The 21,225-nt window shown below is 47.7% G+C and overlaps 1 protein-coding gene across 4 annotated transcripts in view; it reads right to left on the bottom strand.

Moving 5' to 3' along the window:
• PLCG2 (phospholipase C gamma 2) overlaps window positions 1-21,225 on the bottom strand; it is a 223,645-nt gene that overhangs the window by 20,738 nt on the left and 181,682 nt on the right. For all 4 annotated transcript variants that reach the window (NM_001425751.1, NM_001425749.1, NM_001425750.1 and 1 more), the window contains 10 exons: window positions 20,679-20,750; window positions 18,354-18,463; window positions 14,770-14,866; window positions 13,324-13,390; window positions 10,294-10,451; window positions 7,417-7,519; window positions 5,570-5,779; window positions 4,045-4,190; window positions 3,033-3,147; window positions 1,889-2,056 (listed from right to left, as the gene is read on the bottom strand). In NM_001425751.1, coding sequence (NP_001412680.1) covers window positions 1,889-2,056; window positions 3,033-3,147; window positions 4,045-4,190; window positions 5,570-5,779; window positions 7,417-7,519; window positions 10,294-10,451; window positions 13,324-13,390; window positions 14,770-14,866; window positions 18,354-18,463; window positions 20,679-20,750 — 1,246 coding nt within the window. The remainder of the gene's footprint in view (window positions 1-1,888; window positions 2,057-3,032; window positions 3,148-4,044; window positions 4,191-5,569; window positions 5,780-7,416; window positions 7,520-10,293; window positions 10,452-13,323; window positions 13,391-14,769; window positions 14,867-18,353; window positions 18,464-20,678; window positions 20,751-21,225) is intronic.

The following is a 21,225-nucleotide window of genomic DNA, read 5'->3' as shown; positions in this document are numbered from 1 at the left end:
GCCGGGTTTAAAGTAGTTTATAGGCCAGGCACAGTGGTTCACTCCTTTAATCCCATCACTTTTTTTCAGACCAACATGGCAAAACCCCGTCTCTACTAAAAATACAAAAATTAGCCAGATGTGGTAGTGTACACCTGTAGTCCCAGCTACTGAGGAGGCTGAGGCAGAGGTTACAGTGAGCCGAGATCACCCACTGCACTCCAGCCTGAGCGACAGAGCAAGACTCCATCTCAAAAAAAAAAAAGGGGGAGTTTACAGTGTGGGTGAGTTAACCCAGAAGGGTTGCCAAATATCAGGCCTCTTACAAATGAATACTCATTATTATTGCTAGAGTAGCAATGTTCATGAAAATGAACATTTCTAGAGTACAAAAAAAAAAAAAAATCAGAAACTTTAAACATTTTCCCAAAGTCTTGTTTCATCTAGTAACTTGCTAAGGAATTCATTTCCTCAATGGTAAGATAGGCAGCCTTGACATAGTTTGGTTCTGTCAAAGTGCCATCCAAGCACCATCTGGGGAGCTGCCTAAAGATGCAGATTCCTTGGCCCCACCCTGGGCTGACTCATCACCCTGTGGTGGGTCCAGGAACCTGCACTTTCTTCTGAGTCTTGCTCTGTCACCCAGGCTGGAGTGCAGTGGTGCAACCTCAGCCTTCCAAGTAGCTGGGATTATGATTACAGGAGTGAGCCACCGTGCCCGGCCAGCACCTGGATTTTCTAGCATGCCTGCTGCTCAGAAACTGGGCTCCTGCCCAGTAGCAGAAATGGTCAGGTTTATGATATTATACAAAAAAAGGTGGAAGTTGAGGGAATGTCTGAAAACAAAAAAGATCCAATTCAGCTCTTCATTGAGCCCCACGTTTCCAAACAATATCAAAAGACTGTATTTTTTTATGTAAGTAACTAAAATGACAGTCATCTTTCTCTTGAAAAATGATCCTCAGAAAACAAGGGAACAGTGACCTCTTGAGGAATCCAGAAGAATCTATGATCTCATATCTCATGCACCATGCATCAGAAATACTAAAGGAAGAGGAAGAAGGAAAATTCAACATCCAGCAAGGGCCTATTTGTCAAATATTATACCTAAAATCCAGTGGGAAAGATCCAGTGGGAAAGTAAACTAGAGAAACTATATAGAAGCTAAGGAGAGCCAGTTTTTTTTGTTTTTGTAAATGACTGGCTCTAGAAGCAGCAGGGTCCCAAATCCCCTCACCTGGAAGTGTCTATCTCAGCTGTGTAGGAAGGGCTCAGTCATCTGGGATTCAGCAGGGTTCTTAAGAGCTGGTCGTATGACCCAGCTTGGCTTGGTTGCAGAAAAATACAAAATGACCCTTCTTATACCATGAAGGGATCTTGTGTTTTCTTCAGCAGGGAAGAAAACTGTAACAACTCAAAGAAGTAAATTAACCCACCCAATTTTATAGAAGAAGAAGGTGAATTCTGAAGGGTTTGGGGAGTTGGACCCTCGAGATTGTTACTCCCCCCCCAAGATGCCAAAGGTCTCTCCCTTGCCACCCTCTCACACTGCCAGCCAGAGAGCAGGAGGGGGAGATCAAACCAGACTTAGCCCTAGCTAGGGAGAAGCAAACCGCATGTAATATTTCAAAATGAAATCAAACTGCAGTGCCAGGTTGAGGATCCACTAACAATCCAGTTTTGCTTGTAAACATCCCACTTTGAGGGGCATAGCCTCCCCTGTCACCCACTTCCTCCCACCTGTGTGCTACACGACAGGCTGTACACCTGCTCTCCAAGCCACCCAATCGGTTTTACAGTGATTCCATCCAAACCAGGAAAAATCATTTTTCATTCTTTTTGAAGCCAGCAGCCAAACCAAAGTACAACGCCAGCCCAAATCGAACATCTTAATTAAAATGCCTCTTACCTGATTTGACTGCTTTAATGGGGTAAGTGGCATGAGCAAGAAAGTTGGGATCGCTGAACATATCTTCTTCATAAACCACAAAGCGCAGAAATGCCAGGTTTGGGTCATAAATTTCAAATGTCACCTTCTCCTGTGTTGGAGCCCAGATAGGGCTGAGGCCATTATCATCTGGAAGGAGATCAAAGCTCATGAGAGGCCACATTGGAGCTGCCCCCTTCTGGTAAGACAATCTCCGCATCCTTCAGCTGTGAATCCCCTTAGCAACCATGTAAATAAATATGCATCTATGCCAAGATCTAAGAAAATCTGAATAATTATCTTCACTCCCCCACCCCACCTTGAGCAATCCTGGAAGCTGCTGTTGCAGGCTGGTCCCTTGGTGAGCAGAGGAAGGAGACCACCTCCCATCTCCCCGCCCCAGGATCAGGGACAAGGGAACGGGGGAGGTGTTTGTTTGCAGAGCAGGAAGGTGGATTTTGGAAAAGACAAAAGGGGAGGAGAGCCTGGGAGCCACATCCACCAGCAGGGGGTTCTACAGCTGGCAGGGGAGAGCCCAGCCTCACAGAGCAGGCAAGCAGCAATCCTGCCACTCTCCATAAATGCCAGTTTATTTGGTCAGCATCTGAGTTGTTCATTGGGCTACTTTTTACCAGGGGCAAGGATCCTGTGCTTTAGAAGGCCCACCAATCACGGTTCCCTCCTGGCTTTTCCTGGAAGAGCAAGCATTCCTCTTGTCCCTCCTGCCCTCTAGGGGCTAAGATCTCCCAGGTTAGGCTGATCCTCTGGGTCAGGTCAGCCACGTAGGTTCACCCCCTCTCTCTGTGTCTCTGCCTCTTGGCCTTTGACTCAGGAGATTAATCAGATTGGGCTGTTGCACAGAGAGGACCAACCTAGTGTCAGGGCCTCACCTACGATTCCGGACTTGAGTTACAGGCAGGCAAACAGCACTGGGGAAAGTCTAAGGATTTCAGAAAGTGGCCCTTTGTATGTATCCCCTCCTCAAGCTGAACCATGTGGGCAAGAGGGAGGAAAGAAAACCCTGGGACAACTAAAGAGCATTGCAAAATCCCCCACGAAGAGCACTCCCACAAAGGATTCACTGGCCGGACGTTTAAAAGCAGAGGGGCCAAGGTGACTGACTTACTCACAACCGTCGTCTTGAACTTGTTGTTGTCATACTCGGCTCCACAGATCTCCACTTCTACAAAGGGACAGGCAATACTTCGTCCAAGTTTGGGGAGATGGCGAGCACCGAGAACCTGGGACACCAAAGGGAAGCATTGGAACCCCCCTGGGGTCCTGAACAGGCAGCCTAGCGTGGATTGCAGCTGGGTTCTAGAGTGACACTGGATGAGTTCAATGCCAGCCCTAATTTTCCTAGATTCACTGGAAAAGCCGGAGCAACCTTCTGCAGTGGATGAAGGTGGACTGTGGTAGATCCCACAGTTCCTCAGCATCAGCCTGGGTCTCGGCCCCATATGCCACCTGACTCAACAGGTAAAACTCACCTGAGCTCATGAATGCACACATCCATGCCCAAGCAGGTGCCTCTGATCAAGGCAGAGCTTAATCACTGGATTTCCACACCCCTAGGAAAGGCTGAGGAACAGTGTGGCATTCTTTTTATAACTGCTGTTTATTTAAAGGCCTGTGTTTACGTATGCTTCTTCCCCCTACCACCCGCCCGCCCTTAACCTTAGGAGAAATGCAATTCATTTCTCTACTTTTCAAAAATTCTTACAAAGCAACAACACTTTCTCTGAAAGTCAGATGAATTTTAAAAAGCCCTGGAATTGGACAAAGTAAGGGAAAAAACTTCTCCATTAAGACCAAATGGCTGTTTCCCATGTTTTCTTTCTCTTTCCGGCCAGAGGCTGACCTCACCAGGACCCCAGAAAGATAGGGTCATACCTCACCCCCACAGAGGACAAGGGGAAGTGGGTTTGAGGAGGTTTCCCCTCTCTTCCCTCTTCTCCCAGAACGACCCCGGAGTGTACTGTAAGAAAGAAAGATCCTCAAACACTGCCTGAATGGGGATCGTTTAAACAAGACAACCAGCCTCCCTAGACATGGGTTCCCTGCTCTCAAGACAGCATCGGCCCAGCCCCCAGGGAGGGCGGCTGGCTCCCCTGGCAGGAAGGGAGGGCTGGCTTTACCTTGACTGTCAGCGTCATCAGGATCTTCCTCTGGGACTCGGGTGGCATCGGGTCATATTTCTCTGTCCTCATGCTCTCAGGCTGCAGAACGTAGCCCGTGCGCCCATTGAGAGAAAACAATGCGTGATTCATCTGCATGTACTTATCTGGGAAGGAAAGTGAACGCCTGCTGTAAGTCAGGCATGAGCACGCTGGCCCCCTAGGCCAGGAGTTTCTAGGTGGGGAATGAATTTCACCTTTTCCCCAAATTAATGTGAGGCAGCTGTTCAAATAGGTATCTCACTCAAAGAAAATATAGGGTTTCTAGACAGCAAACTCCCAGACTGGGGAACACCTTTCCAAGTATGTCACCAAATCCCGAATCATAAAAGAAAAGATTCAAACTTGCTAAAAGTGTCTATGTAGCAATAAATTGCATAGGCAATTTTAATTCAAATGACAAATATGTGAATATAAATTTTTAACCTCTTAGTTCTGATACATCTATGCTATAAATACCTACTGCAGTAGATACATCAGGTAAGAAGCACAAATAGTTCCCAGAAAAGAAAATGCCACTGCTCCCTAAATGAGGGAAAAACTGGTTAATGTCCCTTACAAGAAGAAGCTCTAATGGACGACGATGTATCAGTTTTCACCTCTCAGTTGTGCAAACGGCAAAAAGTTCAACAAAACTCAGCGAAGTCATACCAAAAGAGCGTACTCCAACCTCCACCTATTTGCATCCCCGCCCACGATCTCTATGGAGGGCAGTTTGGCAGTGTGGCTTAGCTCAGGCACGTCTTCAGTGGTTTTCCTCAGGGCAAAGTTGATCAAAATGCAAGCGCTGTTTGACCCACCCTGCCTTTCTGAGAATTCTGTCCCATAGACATATTCCTACATCTGTGGAATGGCGCTCACGTCAGGGTACAGAAGGCAGTGCTGTCTATGACAGCAAATAATGGGGAATACCTACATGTGCCTCCACGGGGACTTATTAAATAAATGATTGTTCCATTCTGTGGAATCCGATGTGGCTATAAAAAGAATGTAAAGGAGGCTACTGATGAATAGATCCCTCGAAAGAGGTCTTAAATAACAACAACAAAAGCACAAAGCCCCGTGATTTATGCGATCACTTTGTGTCCAGAAGTTTGTGTATGTTAGTTATGCCAGCATGTAAATGTCTCTGGAAGAAAGTCTGAGCAGAAAGCCCTCACACAGCAACAGGCCTGGAGAAGAGAACTCCAAAGATGCTTTAATTACATGAACTAATGCATTTTCTTTTTCTAAGCCAGACTAACTCAGCCTCTGTCACTTACTTACAATCACGAAGCCTGCGTAAGCCAAGCAGCCTTCGGTCCTCTCATCCCTCCATTCAGCTGCTGGACCTCATACTAACCATTACTCTGCTGAACCGTGCAGTCCCTCGGACAAATCACTCATTCTTGGACACCACATGGTATCGCTGACCCAAGGTGACTCGGCCTGGAGTGACTGCAACCGCCACCTTGCAGGGACGGGACTACCTTCAGTCGGCCTTTACCTGCCGTCTGGAAATTGAGTGCCACCATCTGAGAACCGCACAGCCAGAGGCGGAAGGGGTCGTAGTTTGAAGAGTCAACTCTTTGTCCCTTTGGGTAGACGCGGGTCAGGCCCTTTTGATTGTACTTCAGGAGGTCGACGGGCTTCTGTCTGATGATGCTGTCAGCCTTCGTCTCCACAAAGGAGCGGATTTCTCGGAAGTCAGGATTTTCTGCACACAGAGAAAAAGGTCATCAGTACTTCTGTGTCTCATCTGTGCATTTTCTTAATGTTTGCTGCAATGGCTGGATGCTCAGATTATAAAAGGAAACCAGGAATCTCCCTCTTTGACATTCAAGGGGTTCTGATGATATTGTCCCAATTGGTATCACTGTGGACTCTTGCCCTCTGGGGGTTCCAAGTATTAAAAAGGGGCCTAGTTTTCCCACCACCTTTTAGGCTAGAATTACTGTAATTTACTTTTTTTTTTAAACTATCACCATCCTTGAACAAGAAAACACAAAAGTGGTACAGTTATAGAAGAGGGAGAATGGGAATGGTTTTGGGTAGGAGAAGATCTTGGGAGGGGAAGATCCAGAGAGACCACAGACACAAGATGAACAAACTGAGAATCACCTGCCAAAGCCCACAGGTAGGGTTGCAATGTGGGTGCCTGTGCAGGGAAGGGAGAACAGGAGGAGAGGGAAGGGGACAGGCCTCATCTTCTCTCCCATCCAGCTGTGGTGGGATAGCCCGGCAGTCAACATGCTGAGCCTGCTGAGTCCCTGAAGGTAGAAGTTCCTAGGGACTGGCCTCCCGGTAAGTTAACTGAGGGGTCTAGTATTGTCTGGCTGGTCTTCTGTTCTAAGATGAAAGATATGGAAGCAGCTCAAAACACCCAAAGAAAAAAATACGTACAGCATCATCAAAAAGCTTGCTACCTGGAGAATGTGGTAGAAGGTCTTTTTTTTTTTAAATGGCCCCCAAAGATGTCCAGGCCCTAATATCTGGAGCCTGTGCATGTCACTTTATATGGCAGAACAGACTTTGCAGGTGTGATTAAGGAGCTTGAAATGGGAGGCTTATTCTGGAATATCCAGGTGGACCTAATGCATCACAAGGGTCCTTATAATAGGGAAGCAGAAGAGGAGAAGGCCAAGGAATGCCAGCAGCCCCCAGAAACTGGAAGAAGGGAATGGCTTTCCCCTCCGGAGGGAGCACAGCCCTGCTGGCACCCTGATGTTGACCTCATGATACTGATTTCAGACTCTGGCCTCCAGGACTGTGCAAGAATAAATGTTGTTTTCAGCCACCAAGTTTGTGGTAATGGCAGTAAGAACTAAATCCACCCACTAAGTGGGTGATATGGTTTGGCTGTGTCCCCACCCAAATCTCACCTTGAATTGTAGCTCCCATAATTCCCACGTGTTATGGGAGGGACCCGATAGGAGATAATTGAATCATGGGGGTGGTTTCCCCTGTACCGTTGTTGTGGTACTGAATAAGTCTCGCGAGATCTGATGGTTTTATAAGGGTTTCCCCTTTCACTTGCTTCTCATTCTCTCTCCTCTGCTGCCATAATTGTGAGGCCTCCTCCACGTGGAACTGTGAGTCCATTAAACCTCTTTTTCCTTATAAATTACTCAGTCTTGGGTATGTCTTTATCAGCAGCATGAAAATGGACTAATACACCAAAAAAGCTTCTGCCACCAGCTCCCTCACTCGGAGGACAAACCCAAGGTGGGGCCATCTACTGGGAGTAGTTAAGAATGAGAGAATGCACTCTCTGCCCCCTCTGAAAATATCAGACTCTAAAGGAAGTTAAGTTTTCATTGGAGTTATAGGGCATGTTCTTGGGAAAGATGTTACCTAAGTTGTCCTTGGTTTTGCTGGTTGGTTTGCAGTAGACAACCAGGTCAGAGAGCTCGATGGCGATGGACTGGTTCTTCTCCCAGTACTTCATGTTGTTCTCCTGTTTGGAGTTCACTGTCTTTAGTGCCCGCCCCCGAGAAATCCCATCTTCCCAGCTCGCCCTGCATTTTTCCTCCTCCATCCCCACTTTGCTTTCTTGCACACTCGGATCTTTAATATGGTTGAATGTTTTCCTTTCCTGAAGACAACCCTGCCCCTCTCGTTTCTTCCTCTCACTGTGAAAATTCTCGACAAAGCTGTTTCCACGAGGTTTTGGTGTGCAGCTCAGTCCTGGCCACAGCCCTCAAATATAGGTGAGGTCAGGATGGAAGGGGGCTCTTCTCTGTCACCACCCCTCTGTCTTTAACTCTGCCTCCTGTCCCCTCCCCTAAAGCCACACTGTTAGAGTGTCTCAAATTCTAGTTCTTCAAATCCTCGGGGGCTCTGTGGACCCCAGCATCCTCGTCATAACTCTCTATCCCCTGCACCCTCAAAACCTGCACACCTGCTCCCCAGCTCTGACTGCCCATCAGGGCTCTGTCCAAGGGGACCACTACCCAGTGCCCAGGCCATGTGCCATGGACTCAGGAGGTACCTCCCTTCAGAAGACCCACCATCAAATCTAACTCCTTGCATGTAAGGATGAGCTTCTCACTTCACCCCAAAGCAGGCAACCCTGTTGGGCCTCCCCAAATTCTATCAGACTTTTATTGGCCAAGGGGGGACCTTGAGAGAATATTTAGATAATAATGGTGACTGTTTGGGGGGTGCTTAGCTCTAGCCGTCACAGGCTAAGCACTTGAGGGATATTACCTAAGTCAATCCACACCCTGACAGGGAGAATTATCTCCATTTAACAAAGAAGTTGAGTAGCCTGGGCAACAGAGTGAGACTCTGTCTCAAAAAAAAAAAACAAAAAACAGCATGACAATTACTCTCCAGGCCTGCAGCTGTCACCCCTCAAGCCATCTCAGAATGGGAAGTCACAATACAGTTGGTGAGGCTCTGGAAACCCACTAACTAGAAGGATTTTGTGACTGCCCTCTGCCATCAATGAGGTGGCTACAGACCGTGTAACAATGCGGGCACTTAGGGACAGGCAGAGGTCCTGGCAGTGACAAAGAGTTTATCCGCCGCTGGTTTCCCAAGAGTGGGATGGGGCCTTCTTCCTTTGCTCCCCAACACCAGCTCCGCAAAAGGGGTAGCTGTGCCCAGTGTGGGAACTCCGTCAACTCTACTGTCCCAGTTTTTTTACCCCTCAGATGTAATAACAGGACTTTAAAAATCATTCTCATGAAATCTCAGTAAATATAAAAACCAGTTAGAGAGGAATGCAGACCAAAGGCCGCCAACAGCAACCTTGAACAGCTCAGCTTCATTTCAGGAACCTTCACGCGGCAGGAGAGGAGGTGTGAGGCAGGGGAGAGACAGAGCCTTCTAGGGAAATAACACTTTTCCACATTAAGCAAAGTAGAGAGAGCTGGAGTGCACTATTTGGAGATTTTTTAAATAAACCTCAGGGTCGTGGCACCTCCCTGTGCCTCAGAGCTGTACTGTGGCATCAGAGACACTGGAGGGCAGAAGAGATGGTTTCACTGGGAAAGCCAGAAGGACAGCGCAGCTGGCTACAAGCTCATGGTTCCTCCCCCATGGCTGGTGGTGTGAAAAGCCATGGGAAGAATTAGGAGCCCTAGGGAAGGCCCCCAGGAGTTCCTGGGTCAGAGAAAGACGATGCCCCACCAGCGAGGGCACCCATGGACCAGTCCCCTCTGCAAAGTCTCCTAAAGAGGACACTTCCCTGCAGAAGAGTTGAGTGAGTCAAGGATCCTCTCGTGACCAGGGACTGGCCAAGATGTGAGGCCCTCCCAAGGGGAAAAAAATGACCTGGCCACTGGTGGGTGACTATCTTGGAGGAGAGACTCACTGACTCTAGCCAGAAGTCAGAGGGCACAAGAGGCCCCAGGAAGGCTTTAATCAGCCCTTTGGGTCAAGTTCTACCTTAGAAACAAATGGGTGCATGGGAAACCCTACAATTTCTTTCCAGTTCGGCAGCCACAAGAACAGACAGCCCTTACTCCATCATCGAAGACAGGGTGGCACTTTCCCATGTCGCTCTGATATAATGATAAGGCAGTGATTAAGTACTTGTGAGTTAGGAATTTGGCTCCTCATTTTGCAGACAAGGAAACTGAGGCCCAGAGAAGTGTGGTTACTTGCCCAGGGTCCAGCCCTGCCAGGATGCAAACTCCAGTCTGCCCAATTCCAGACCTCCTATTCTTATCCAGAAGCTCACACCTTCCCAAAACACTTCCAGCCAGAGACTAGTACTTCAGGTAGGACAGCCCTGAAAAGGTCACTCCCATCTAGAGGGGAAGTTCCTCCACCGGAAAGAACCGGGTCTCGCTGATTTGCTATGTTCCCAGAGCCCATTCCAGCTCCAGGCAGGTGAGCTCAGTGAACGTTTTCTGTCAGGAGGATCCAGACTGCTTTATATGATACTTAGAAAGAAAATATTCAAAATGAGGAAGGCAGTAACTTCCTTGGTAAGATATGTAGGGCCGCAAAGACATCATCAATGAGCATTGCTGCAGGCACTCAGCCTTCTGAAGGTTCGAACCAGACAACCAGACCCACCTTCCCAGGGCACCTCCACTATCCCTGCCTCTCTCTAACAAGAGGTGCTCCAATTGTCTGAATCCACCTGGTCTCCTTCCTGAATTCTGAGTAGGACCTGGGCCTGCTCATCCTGCTGCCTGGACCCACCCACAGTCCCAACTGAGCACCAAAGCCCTCAGAATGCCAGGCCCACCTGCACCCGGGTGAGCAGGTGCCTACCTTGGTGTCAATCTTCCAGGTGATCTCTCGGATGCTCTGAAACCACTCAAAGAGCTCCTCCACCCTGTCTGTGGCAAACTCCACCGGAGGATCGCCCTGCTGCTTGGGCTCCAGGATGAAGACAAAGGACTTCTGGTTTTTTCCCTGAGGGGCTTTCACTTGGGGTAAGAGAATAAGAAATGTCCCAATCAGCCTATTAGAGGGCCACAAAGACCAGACTGCACCCTGCCTGAGCTGTTTCTCTCATGGACCAACCACCACTGCTATGACCACGGTTAGCACTGATGGGGACGTCTACTTTCCATCGGGGTAAGTACACATCACAGATGACTACTCAAGGGATGCAGTAGATTCAGTAGGGTCCTCCGAAAAGATGTGTCAGGTCACCAGTACCTGTGAATGGGACCTTATAGGGTCGTTGCAGATGTACTTAGGTTAAGGATCTCAATATGAGATTATCCTGGATTTAGGGCAATTCCAACATCCAACAAGTATGAGTATCCTTATAAGAGAAAGGAGAGGGACACTTAAGATGCAGGAAAAAAAAACAAACATTAAAATGCATGAGAGAACCTGAAAAAAATACCCTCTTGTCCACTTTAGTTATAGACATGTGTTCGTCTTGATCAAAAGAAACACTGAATATCTTTTTGGTTGACCAATTAGAAAATGCTTTTTACACTCATCATAAATATTTTTTACAAATTACTAAAACAATACATGTTCATTTTAAAAATATTTAAAATATAGCTAAGCAACTTGGCATTTTTACAAAATGTTTACATACAATACATAAAATTTTGTGAACTGTTTCACTTAGCATATTGTGCATAATTTTCTATGTTGTTACATATAATCTTTTACATATAAAGAATAAATAATTTAAATGGCTTTTTTTTTTTTTTTTGAGACAGGGTGGCACTCTGTCACCCAGGCTGAAGTGCAGTGGTGCGATCTTGGCTCCCTGCAGCCTCCACCTTCCAAGTTCATGCGATCCTCCCACCTCAGCCTCCCTAGTAGCTGAGACCACAGGTGCACACCACAAAGCCTGGCTAATTTTTGTATTTTTTGTAGAGAGGGGTTTCGCCATGTTGCCCAGGGCTGGTCTCGAACTCCTGAGCTCAAGCGATCCACTCACCTTGGCCTCCCAAAGTGCTGGGATTACAGGAATGAGCCACCACACCCAGCTAAATGGCTTTAAAAACAGATGCAGACACAAGGGAGAAAGCCATGTGCAGGCAAATGTGGAGACTGAAGAATGCAGCCATGAGCCAAAAACACCAAAGAGTCACCAGAAACTAGGAGAGAAATGTGGCGTGGGTTCTCCAGACACAGAGAAAGGATCTTACAGAGAAGAAAAGATTATGACAGGGAAACTTATCTGCCAAATAATATTAGTAGCTAAGATTTCTGAGCTCTTATATACCAGGCAATATTCTAAGCAGATTACATGTATTGCATCTTTATTTTATTTTATTTTTTTAATTTTGAGCTCTTGCTACATTATCCAGGCTGGTCTCAAACTCTTGGGGCTCAAGGGATCCACCCACCTCAGCCTCCTGAGTAGCTGAGACTAAAGGCACCCTGCTTTTGCTAGGCCCATTTTGCAGGAGGCAAAACTGAGGCTCATTAAGAGAAAGTCACATGTGGAAAGTCATACAGCTAGTAGTAGTAAAACTGAGGCTCAGTTCAAACCTGACTCCAAGATTTCTACTCAGAACCAATGAGCCATGTGCCTCTGCTCTGCAGATACAGGGATGGGGGAAGATGATACAAAGAGCACCAGAAGTGGATGCAGGGATCCTGCACCCCCCTGCCCAAAGGACCTCAGCACATGTGGTGGTCGGTCACTTAGGACCTTGATTTTCCCATCTGGTAATCGGAGCAAAGAATCCCTCTCCTACCTATCCTGCTGGATCATTGTAAAGGTAAAGAAGCAGGTTATAAATGTGGAAAGCAGGCTGGGCATGGTGGCACATGCCTGTAATCCCAGCACTTTGGGAGGCTAAGGCAGGCAGATCACTTGAGGTCAGCAGTTTGAGACCAGCCTGGCCCACATGGCGAAACCCTAGCTCTACTAAAAATACAAAAATTAGCCAGGCACGGTGGCCCATGCCTGTAGTCCCGGCTACTCAGGAGGCTGAGGCAGGAGAATCACTTGAATCCAGGAGGCAGAGGTTGCAGTGAGCCAAGATCACGCCACTGCACTCCAGCCTGGGTGACACAGCGAGACTCTATCGCGAAAAGAAATAATAATAAATGAATGAATGTGTAAAGCAGAGCATTGGCAATAGAAGCAGGAAGTTCCTGGGGCTGCTGTCACCTGAGTCCTAGGGGAGCATGCCCGTGCCTGCCCAGGGAGGGTCATGGGCTGCCCAGAACAAGGAGGCCCGCTACAGAGTCCCTTCACATGGGAGCTGCACCACACCCACTTCAAAGCAGGCAGGCTCAAGACCCAGGAAACCCAGCACACATCAGACCCTGGCCACCACTGGACAAGCCTAGCCTTGGGGCCACGCCTTCACATCCCGTTGCAGCATGGTCAACGTGGGCGGGCTGGGTTTCCTGGGCCCCAGCCGAGCAACCAGGAAGCAGAGGTTCAAAGAGGAGAAGTGACAGGCCTGTAGTCTCACAGCGACAGAGAGGCAGAGCTGGGTTTAGAACCCAAGACTCCCAACTCCACGCTGCATTTCAGCCAGGCTGACAGCTCAGCTTTCCTTCGCAACGCATGGGAAACACAGATGGATCCTGAAATAATAAGAGTGACGCTGGTAATAATATCCGCTAACCACCATCTAGCACTTATGTACGAGACCTTGTTTTAGCACTTACAGTTTTAGTAGAGATTAATAGCAGACATAGCATCATACTCACTGACCAGCCTGACCTAAATACTCAGCTTCAGCCAGGGAAGGAGCTGGCATTCAAGACAGGACCCTGTGTCAGCCACCTCCCTGTGTAGGGCGGGGCTGAGGTCAGCCCATGGGGGATAGGGGTGGAAATCCAGGCTAAGATGATGTGTGCACGTACCGACGTTATAGGTATTGAGGTCCAATATTCCTCTGCAAAGAGACCCTAAGGGATTGTCTTCAATAATCTGTGAAGAAACAAGACATAACTCACGTTAGTTGTAACGGGAATAATAAAAAGAAAACCCGTTTCCAAAGCACACCGTTTAGCAGAGATACTGCCTGTGGAACTGTTTAAAATGCATTTTCATTACCAGATACGTCCATGGGGAGAGAGCTAAATAATGAAGCATGGAGCTGATAGGGACCTGGCGGGGAGAGGGTGCCAGGAGGTTCGGAGTTTCATTTTCCAATCCGTAAAAACGTGCCTTGTGAATTCTAGAACAGGTTTCATAATGCTTCCTCAGATCTGGTTTCCAAACACATCCTAGACTATTTATCTGACCTTATTAGAAAATGAGACTATTTTGCCTACTAAAGCCCGGCTCAAGAACCTTCTGTGGCTCCCCATGTCCTGTGGAAGCAACACCCATGCTCTATGACCTGGCTTTTAAGACTTTCAGAGCCCCCATCACCCTTTCCAGCTCTGCCTCCCATTGCACCCTTGAACCATCCCAGGGTCTGGCTGAGATGAAGAATATCCTGGGCTTAGGAGAGGTGGCAGAACCAGGCATCCACTCCTTGCCTGCACCACCCCAAACCCCACCCCCTGCACCAGGTAAATGCTGATGTACAGGTAAGGGCAACTCAGTACAGAGGAAGCAAGGGCTTCCAGTCTCTGCCTCAGCCCAAGCACACGGAACACAACCACATTCCCACTGCCACACCTTTGCTTAGACTGTACCTCCCACTTGCACCTCTCTTCTGCCAGTCTCTTGCTGTTGAACTCTAACTTGACTTTTAAGGGTCAAATACTCCTTCCTCCAGGAAGCCTTCCCAGATTGCCCTACATCCCTTAGAAAATAAACACCTGGGGGTCTAACGGGATCTTAAAATCCTCATTACAAAGATATCATCCTTGGTGGAGTGCTAGCACGCTGAAAGTGGCTGCTCTCTAAACAAGAGGCGGCGAGGGAACAACCACCAGGTTTGCAAAGTCACCAGGAAGGCCTCATCTCACCTCTGGTTAGGCCCACTTGCTTACTCGCCCCAAGCACGTTCTCAATGTCTGGCTGTCCAATATAAATGTGTTTCATCTGCAAGTTGCTTAAGCAAAGGACAAATTCCCCATTTGGTCACTTTCACTCCAGCGGGAATTCTCCTGCATAATGAAATCCTTCCAAGCCCAACACAACCTGATTAAAACACGGCCGGCTTGTCACAGCAACTCACCCACAACAACTCAATCTCAATTTCCCTATCATCACTGTGTCTTCCCTGATCCAGAGCTCCACAGAGACCACAAGCAGCACATGGAAAAATTCACCCACTGAGATGGCACAGCTCCCTGAAAAACTGGACCTGCAGATCCCTTCTTCCTGTAAGAGGATCGAAGAGGGGGACTCACCTGCTTTTCTAGCTCCTCGAAGTCTGCAGTTGAGATGTCCTCGACGTAGTTGGATGGGAAGTACTGCTGGATCCTGGTTCCATAGTCTCCTTTCCACCTGGATAAGAAGAGAGGACATGGGGGCGCTGTCACCAGGTGGCATGAATTACCCACTACTGCTCATCTGCACCCGGCTGCTGGCTCAATTCTGATGGGGACAGACAGCAAGTGGCCAAGTGACCAGTGTCACTATCTGTGACAATGGAGCATCTCAAAGGCAACTGCTGTCTTTTTATTTTTTAATTACTAATGAGTTACTGGGGGCTGATTTTACCCCCATCACATGATCTTAATGTTTAATCAAAGATCACAAGTCAAAAGTTTCCATGCTTTACGTGGAAGTCAGAGACCATACAAGACAAAAGTTCACCCCTATTTCGGGGAGGTTGTGAATTTAGAGAGAAGGTGGTTCTGGAGGCAGACAGGCTGGAATTAAACTCCAGCTCTACCACTGACGGTGGAGGCTTTCTGTGCCTCCAACTCTCCATCTGAAAAATGCATAAACGTGAGTGCTTCCCTCAGAGGGTTTTATTAGGACTCTAAATTAACATAAGCTGAGTGCTTGGGACAGCGCCTACCTAGTACACAGTAAATACTCAATAGTGTTAGCTCTTATTATTATTCAGCTAAAACATTGTTCCCTATCTTTATAACAACACTAACAACACGGGACATAATCCATCTATGAATGTTCCTGGACCCCACCAGACGGTGAGCACCTCTAAGATTCCTCCCGGCAAGGCCGTGCCCAGACATGCAAACGCCCTCCTTCAACCTGCCCATCTCTTGAGCTATTTTCCGCAGCCAGGGACTCTCCAAAATGCACCTCTGACCACACCACATGATGGCTCCCCAGGGCCTCCAGAATCCAGCCCAGACTCTTCAACATGGCAGCCACGGCCCAGCACAGTCTGACCCCAGGACTCCCAGACATCACCTCCTAACTCTCCATGATGTTGACTCCAGCTGGCCCGTCGTCCCTATCATGCCCCTGCCATGCTGCCTAGCTTCCATGCCTTGGCCCATGCCCTTGGTACCCAACTTCCCCCCACTAATTTAAGACTCAGCTTGGGCATTTCCTCTCCCACGGAGTCTTCCCTGACTGCCCCCTAGGCTGAGCACTCTTCCTCTGTGGTCCCCTGGCATCCTGTCCCCACAGTCATCCAAGCAGCCACATCTTATACTTAACGTATAATTATACATCTGTCTTCCCCTCTATATGATATCCTTCTGGATTTTTTTTTTTTTTTTTTTGAGACAGAGTCTCACTCTGTCCCCCAGGCTGGAGTGCATGGCACGATCTCAGCTCACTGCAACCTTCGCCTCCCAGGTTCAAGCAATTCTCCTGCCTCAGCCCCGCCAGTAGCTGGGATTATGGCATGGGCCACCATGCCTGGCTAATTTTTGTATTTTTAGTAGAGACAGGGTTTTACCAGGTTGGCCAGGCTGGTCTCAAACTCCTGACCTCAAGTGAGCCACCCGCCTCGGCCTCCCAAAGTGCTGGGATTACAGGCGCAAGTCACTGCACCCGGCTGACCTTTCTGGATCTTAATCAAGTCTGTGCTCCGTGGTGGTGGGAAGAACTTAACAATTTTTTGGTCTGAATAAGCAGAGTGAGGACTGATGCTACCAATTCACCTAGCAGAGACACAGGACTGCGGGTTGTAAGCCCTTTTCACGCCCCCCCGCACCATTTCTCCAGACCCACTTCTGGCAAGGGCTGGCTGTATTTACGGCGATCATATATACCATCTGTCCAGGACTGAGCACTTTACATTCTCTTCACTCTCAGGAGCATCTTGGTTCAGACAATAATTGTTTGGTCCCCTAGCTACAGGGAACCAGTTTGGAAGTATGCAAAAAAGCCGGTTTCACCCAGGCGGCCCCCTAGGTAGCACTACTGCCATCAGAGAGAGGAATTGACCACAGCCGCTGGGCGGTTTGCCCACAGTCCCTTGCCAAAGGGACTTCTGACAGTCTCTTAAGACAAGAGCCTTCGAAATTCAGAGAACTGCCTGTCAGAGGCATAGAAAGGCATGAGGCCATCTCACACAGAATGGAAAACCGTGATTTGGAGTAGTCACCTGGGCTCCAGCCACAACTCCAAAAATGTTGTTAGTCACCCACCCAGTGCGCACCAGGATGTTGACCAAGGCAGGGACAGGAGCCCAGTGAGGGAACGCCAGTGTGCCTGGAAGAGACCTCAACTCTGTGCCACTTCGAGTGGAGGGACTTCGGCAAAGCCGAGCCTCTGAACTGGGAGAAGCAGACGGACAACACTGTGGTTGCCCAACTGGGTCTGGGAGCCTCCAAGGGGAAGCATCAGAGGCTGCAGTAGGAACAGCAATGTCAGCAAGGAGGCCAAACAGGGCAATTCTACGCCCCCACTCCAGCTCAATGGGTAACTCGGCTGCATCTTTGATTCTGTGGAATCTAGGTATGAATTGGTTTGCAATGAGGTTCTCCTGATTTTAAGAAAAAGTTTGATAATCCCTGGATTAAGGCATCTTGCAAGAGGACAGGGAAGGACTTAGCAGATGAATGGAGTTAAGAGTGTAAGCTCTGGAGTCAAAAGGCCTGGCGGTTCAAATCTCAGCCTGCTATGTGGCCCTGGACAAGTGACTGCACTTCTGAAGGCTTCAGTTTCCTCATCGGTAAAATGCAGGTAACAACAGAACCAACCTTTTACAGTCATCATGTAGACTCAGTTATTTCAAATGAAGTGAGTTATTTCAAACGTGCTTAAAACAGTGCTTGACACATAGAAGCACTCCATGCATGCTGCTATTCAGATTCCTAAGCCAGGTCCAGTTATCTTGTGGGAGGCAGAAATGCCAGTCTATGAGGTGCTTAAACCAGTGCTCACTATTATGAGCAAGTTCTTATTGCTCTCAGACAGAAGTCACCCCACAAAACCACTTCCCCAGAAACCTATCAGTGGGCAGTGAATTTTTCTTCTAAGGTTAAAAAGCGAAGTGGTAACTAAACCCTAGCATACCCAGGTACCTTTGCACGAAAAACGTATTGTCTTCAATTCAGGATGTGGCCATTGCACACAGCACGGGACTATGGAACAGCATACGAATTTGAATTGGAAATAACACACAGTCTTGTGTATTGGAAAGCGCCTGCACTATTTAGTATTTAGTATTTATTTGTGTGACTTGGAAAGTCTCATTTGCCGCATCTTTTGTCACAGGGAGTAATGAAGATTTGGTTGAAGATTTGGTTAGACAATGCATGGAAAGCAATTAGCAGACTGCTTGCCACTTAGAAAGACTTCAATAAATGGTAGCTGCTGTTGTAATTATAATAATATACAATATATGATATGATATGTCGATACCTGTTAATATTGTTGTTTATCCATTTTCTCAAATAGAGCATGCACCAAGCCACCTTCCTAAGAAGGGACTTAACACAAGAGGTCAAAGCCAGCCCAGGATGACAAAGGGGGTCAGACTTGGCCAGCACCTGAGTCTTATCACCAAGAAGGGACAAGTCAAGCCCACCTGCCGAGCAGCCCAGCCTCCACTCAGCCTTACCAGCCCCCGGGCTCCTTGGAGACATTGTGGATGAGGGCACCACGGCAGAAGCTCAGCTCATCGCTTCGCTTGGCTTTGTAGTCATACAGAGCTTTCACGGTTCTCTGAGGCTTTCAGGGAAAACAAGAAGGAAAAGGTCAGGCCAGGGACAGGAGGGGAGGGAGGCGGCTGCGTTCCCAGGTACCATTTGGTTCTTCTCATTGGGGAGCAGGAGGCTTCAGGCCAAGGTTACAAAGTCATCTGCTGGAGAGGGACTGGCATTGCAAAGGATCGAAGGCCCCAAAAAGCCACCAGGGAGTGAAGGAGAACTGGCCTAGTCAGAGCCAAGGGTACCTGGGTTGGGGTTAAGGGTTAGGGGTTAGGAGTTAGGGTTTGGGGCTAGGGTTTAGCGCTGGGGTTAGGGTTAGGCTTAGGGTTAGGGTGGGAGTGACCCTATATTGTAGTGACACAATATTGCTCAATTTCCTCAACAAAGAAAGGACATGCCTTTTAGATTAAGCCAAGACTGTCATCACAGTGCCGGTGCTCAGCAAGCCTCCCAGAAGCTCAAGGGCAACCCCATTCTTCCTGCCTGTCCTGAGGGCCTCATTGCTCTGTTTTTGTAGGTCAGCAGTCCCCTATCTACACTCCTGCAGGACCCTGACATTTTGCAAGAGTAACTGAGCTTCTCCTCCATGAAATTCATCAAAAGGTGGTCTCTGTTCACAGAACTAAATAAGATAGAACTTCCTTGGTTAGAAATTTTCTTCAATGAATTTGCTTTCATGCTTTCTGCCTGGCGGGCATAAATGAACACCCACACGGCAAGCAAATGTTAGTGGGAAAAGCTCTGACGTTGTCAAACCTGTTTAAATGAGCAGCTTCCTTCTCCTCCCACCCAAAGGAAATGGGAACAGGAATTTCACAGGGAACCTAGTAAAATTTTTCCTCAGAACACAGGCTACAGAGTCAGATATGTAGGTTCAAATCATTGCTCTGCCCTTGAATAATGATATAAGTTTGAGTCTCTCTGATCCTCAGTTCCCCCGTCTGTGAAATGGGAATTAAATTTTTATATATTTCACAGGGTTGTTAAGACTACTAAATGAGATCATGTGTATAATGATAAAACTGACAACAGCTTGCACTTCTTAAGTGCTAACTATAGTATCGCTAAAGCATTATTCCAAGCCTTAAGGTATCTCCTTTAATCCTTAAGCAACCATAACAGGTAAGTAGTTATATGAGTATGCCCATTTTGCAGATGAGAAAACTGAGATGCAGAGAGAGAAAGTAATTTGCCCCACATCGACCAGCTGTTTTAAGTGGCTCAGCCCAGAACTGGATCCATCAATGTGAGTTAGTGCCATAGTGCATGATGTTTCATAAGAAGCAATGTGGGTTCTAGGAGCTCTGCCACAGGGATCTGCAGCTGGAGGCCAGAGGCTAAGCAGTACCCTTGCCTTTCTCTCCCCCACCTGCAAACAGAGCAGCCTCTACTTGCGTATCCTGCTTCAAGGGTGGATATAAGGACCAGCCAGTCTCCAAGGCCACAGGAAGGAAAAGTCATCAGTTAGAGAGGTGACTGTTCTCATCGCCAAAACATCCTTCACTACTAACAAAAGTTTTTGCTACTAAGGTCTCTTAATGCATTTCACACACAGCTCAATTTGCCCACAACTTTTCAAGATTTCATTTCTTTCTGAAACAGATCTGCATTGGCCATGGATTATAAATTTTTGAAAAAGAAAGTCATCTCTGGATTTCAACAGAGCCCACAAGCAGGGCCCCTTCCTAAGTGAGCGTTGTACACTAATTGTGTGCCACATGGCCCCCAAACAGAAAATTCGCTGTGGTTCTTCCTCTGCCGGCTCAAACTAAATTTGAGATGAAAGCATGGCAAGGAGGAGCCGAGGGCTGAAAGTAAAATCCATCCCTACCTGCATGAAATTACACAACAGAGTCAGGGTGGGAATATGAGATAGCATTTGCACTGCAAGGAGGTCAGTGAACCAAATGGAATTTATAAACACCACAGGCTCTGTCAGCGAGCCAAAAACATTTGAAAGACTTTTCATTAGAAGCCATTTGGCCCAAAGGTGGTTCGTCAAACCTCAGAATTTTAGCAAAACACTGTTGCATTTGGATGGAATTCTATTAACATTTTCCCTGAAACTAGGCTTGATATTATCAATCATCCTTTCTTCTCAAAAAAAAAAAAAAATTATTTTGGCCAGGTTTTCCAAAGTCTTCCCTTGCCCTGTTATAACTGCCATGGGAACAAGATGGAATCCACATCAGCCTCGTGACTCCAAAATCATGTGAATTGGAGGTTCGGCACCGTACCATGGACGGATTGATTTCACTGGGATCCACATACATTCTGCTGACGTCGTAGAGGGAGTTTATATCTCTTTCCTGGAAAAAAAAAGAAAGAAAGAAATGGAATAATCCATGCTCCTGGAATAGCCCTTACATATAACAAGGGTTCTAGGCTTCCTTATGGTTACCTATCCTTTGATAGAGGAGTTGAAACCTCATAGAATTTTCTTTTGGCCCATGAGTAGACACAGGAAGAAGCTATAAAGAAGGTCCCCAGACTTGGAAACTAACCCAAAATCAGAGAGGCCCTGTCCTGGCCTGCTGCGTGCCAGGCACTGCGTTCCTTTGTAAAAGCACAAATCCTAAGATGCGATGGTGTGCTGGAGTGACCTCCCGGCTCACAAAAGCCCACTGTGTACATCACTTCCTGACTCCACGTTCCAGGTTCAACGACAGCACATCAACAACTTGAAACTGACCTCCATGGAAGTATTTACACCATGGAAACTGGCAAATGCTACAAACCAGTGCCTTCCCCCTACCCCGCTGAGAGCTGTTTGAACATTTACTA

Source organism: Homo sapiens, chromosome 16 (assembly GCF_000001405.40).
Source record: "Homo sapiens chromosome 16, GRCh38.p14 Primary Assembly".
Lineage (NCBI taxonomy): Eukaryota > Metazoa > Chordata > Mammalia > Primates > Hominidae > Homo > Homo sapiens.
The sequence above is the reverse complement of the archived record's forward strand: the minus strand, read 5'-3'. Positions and strand labels throughout refer to the sequence as shown.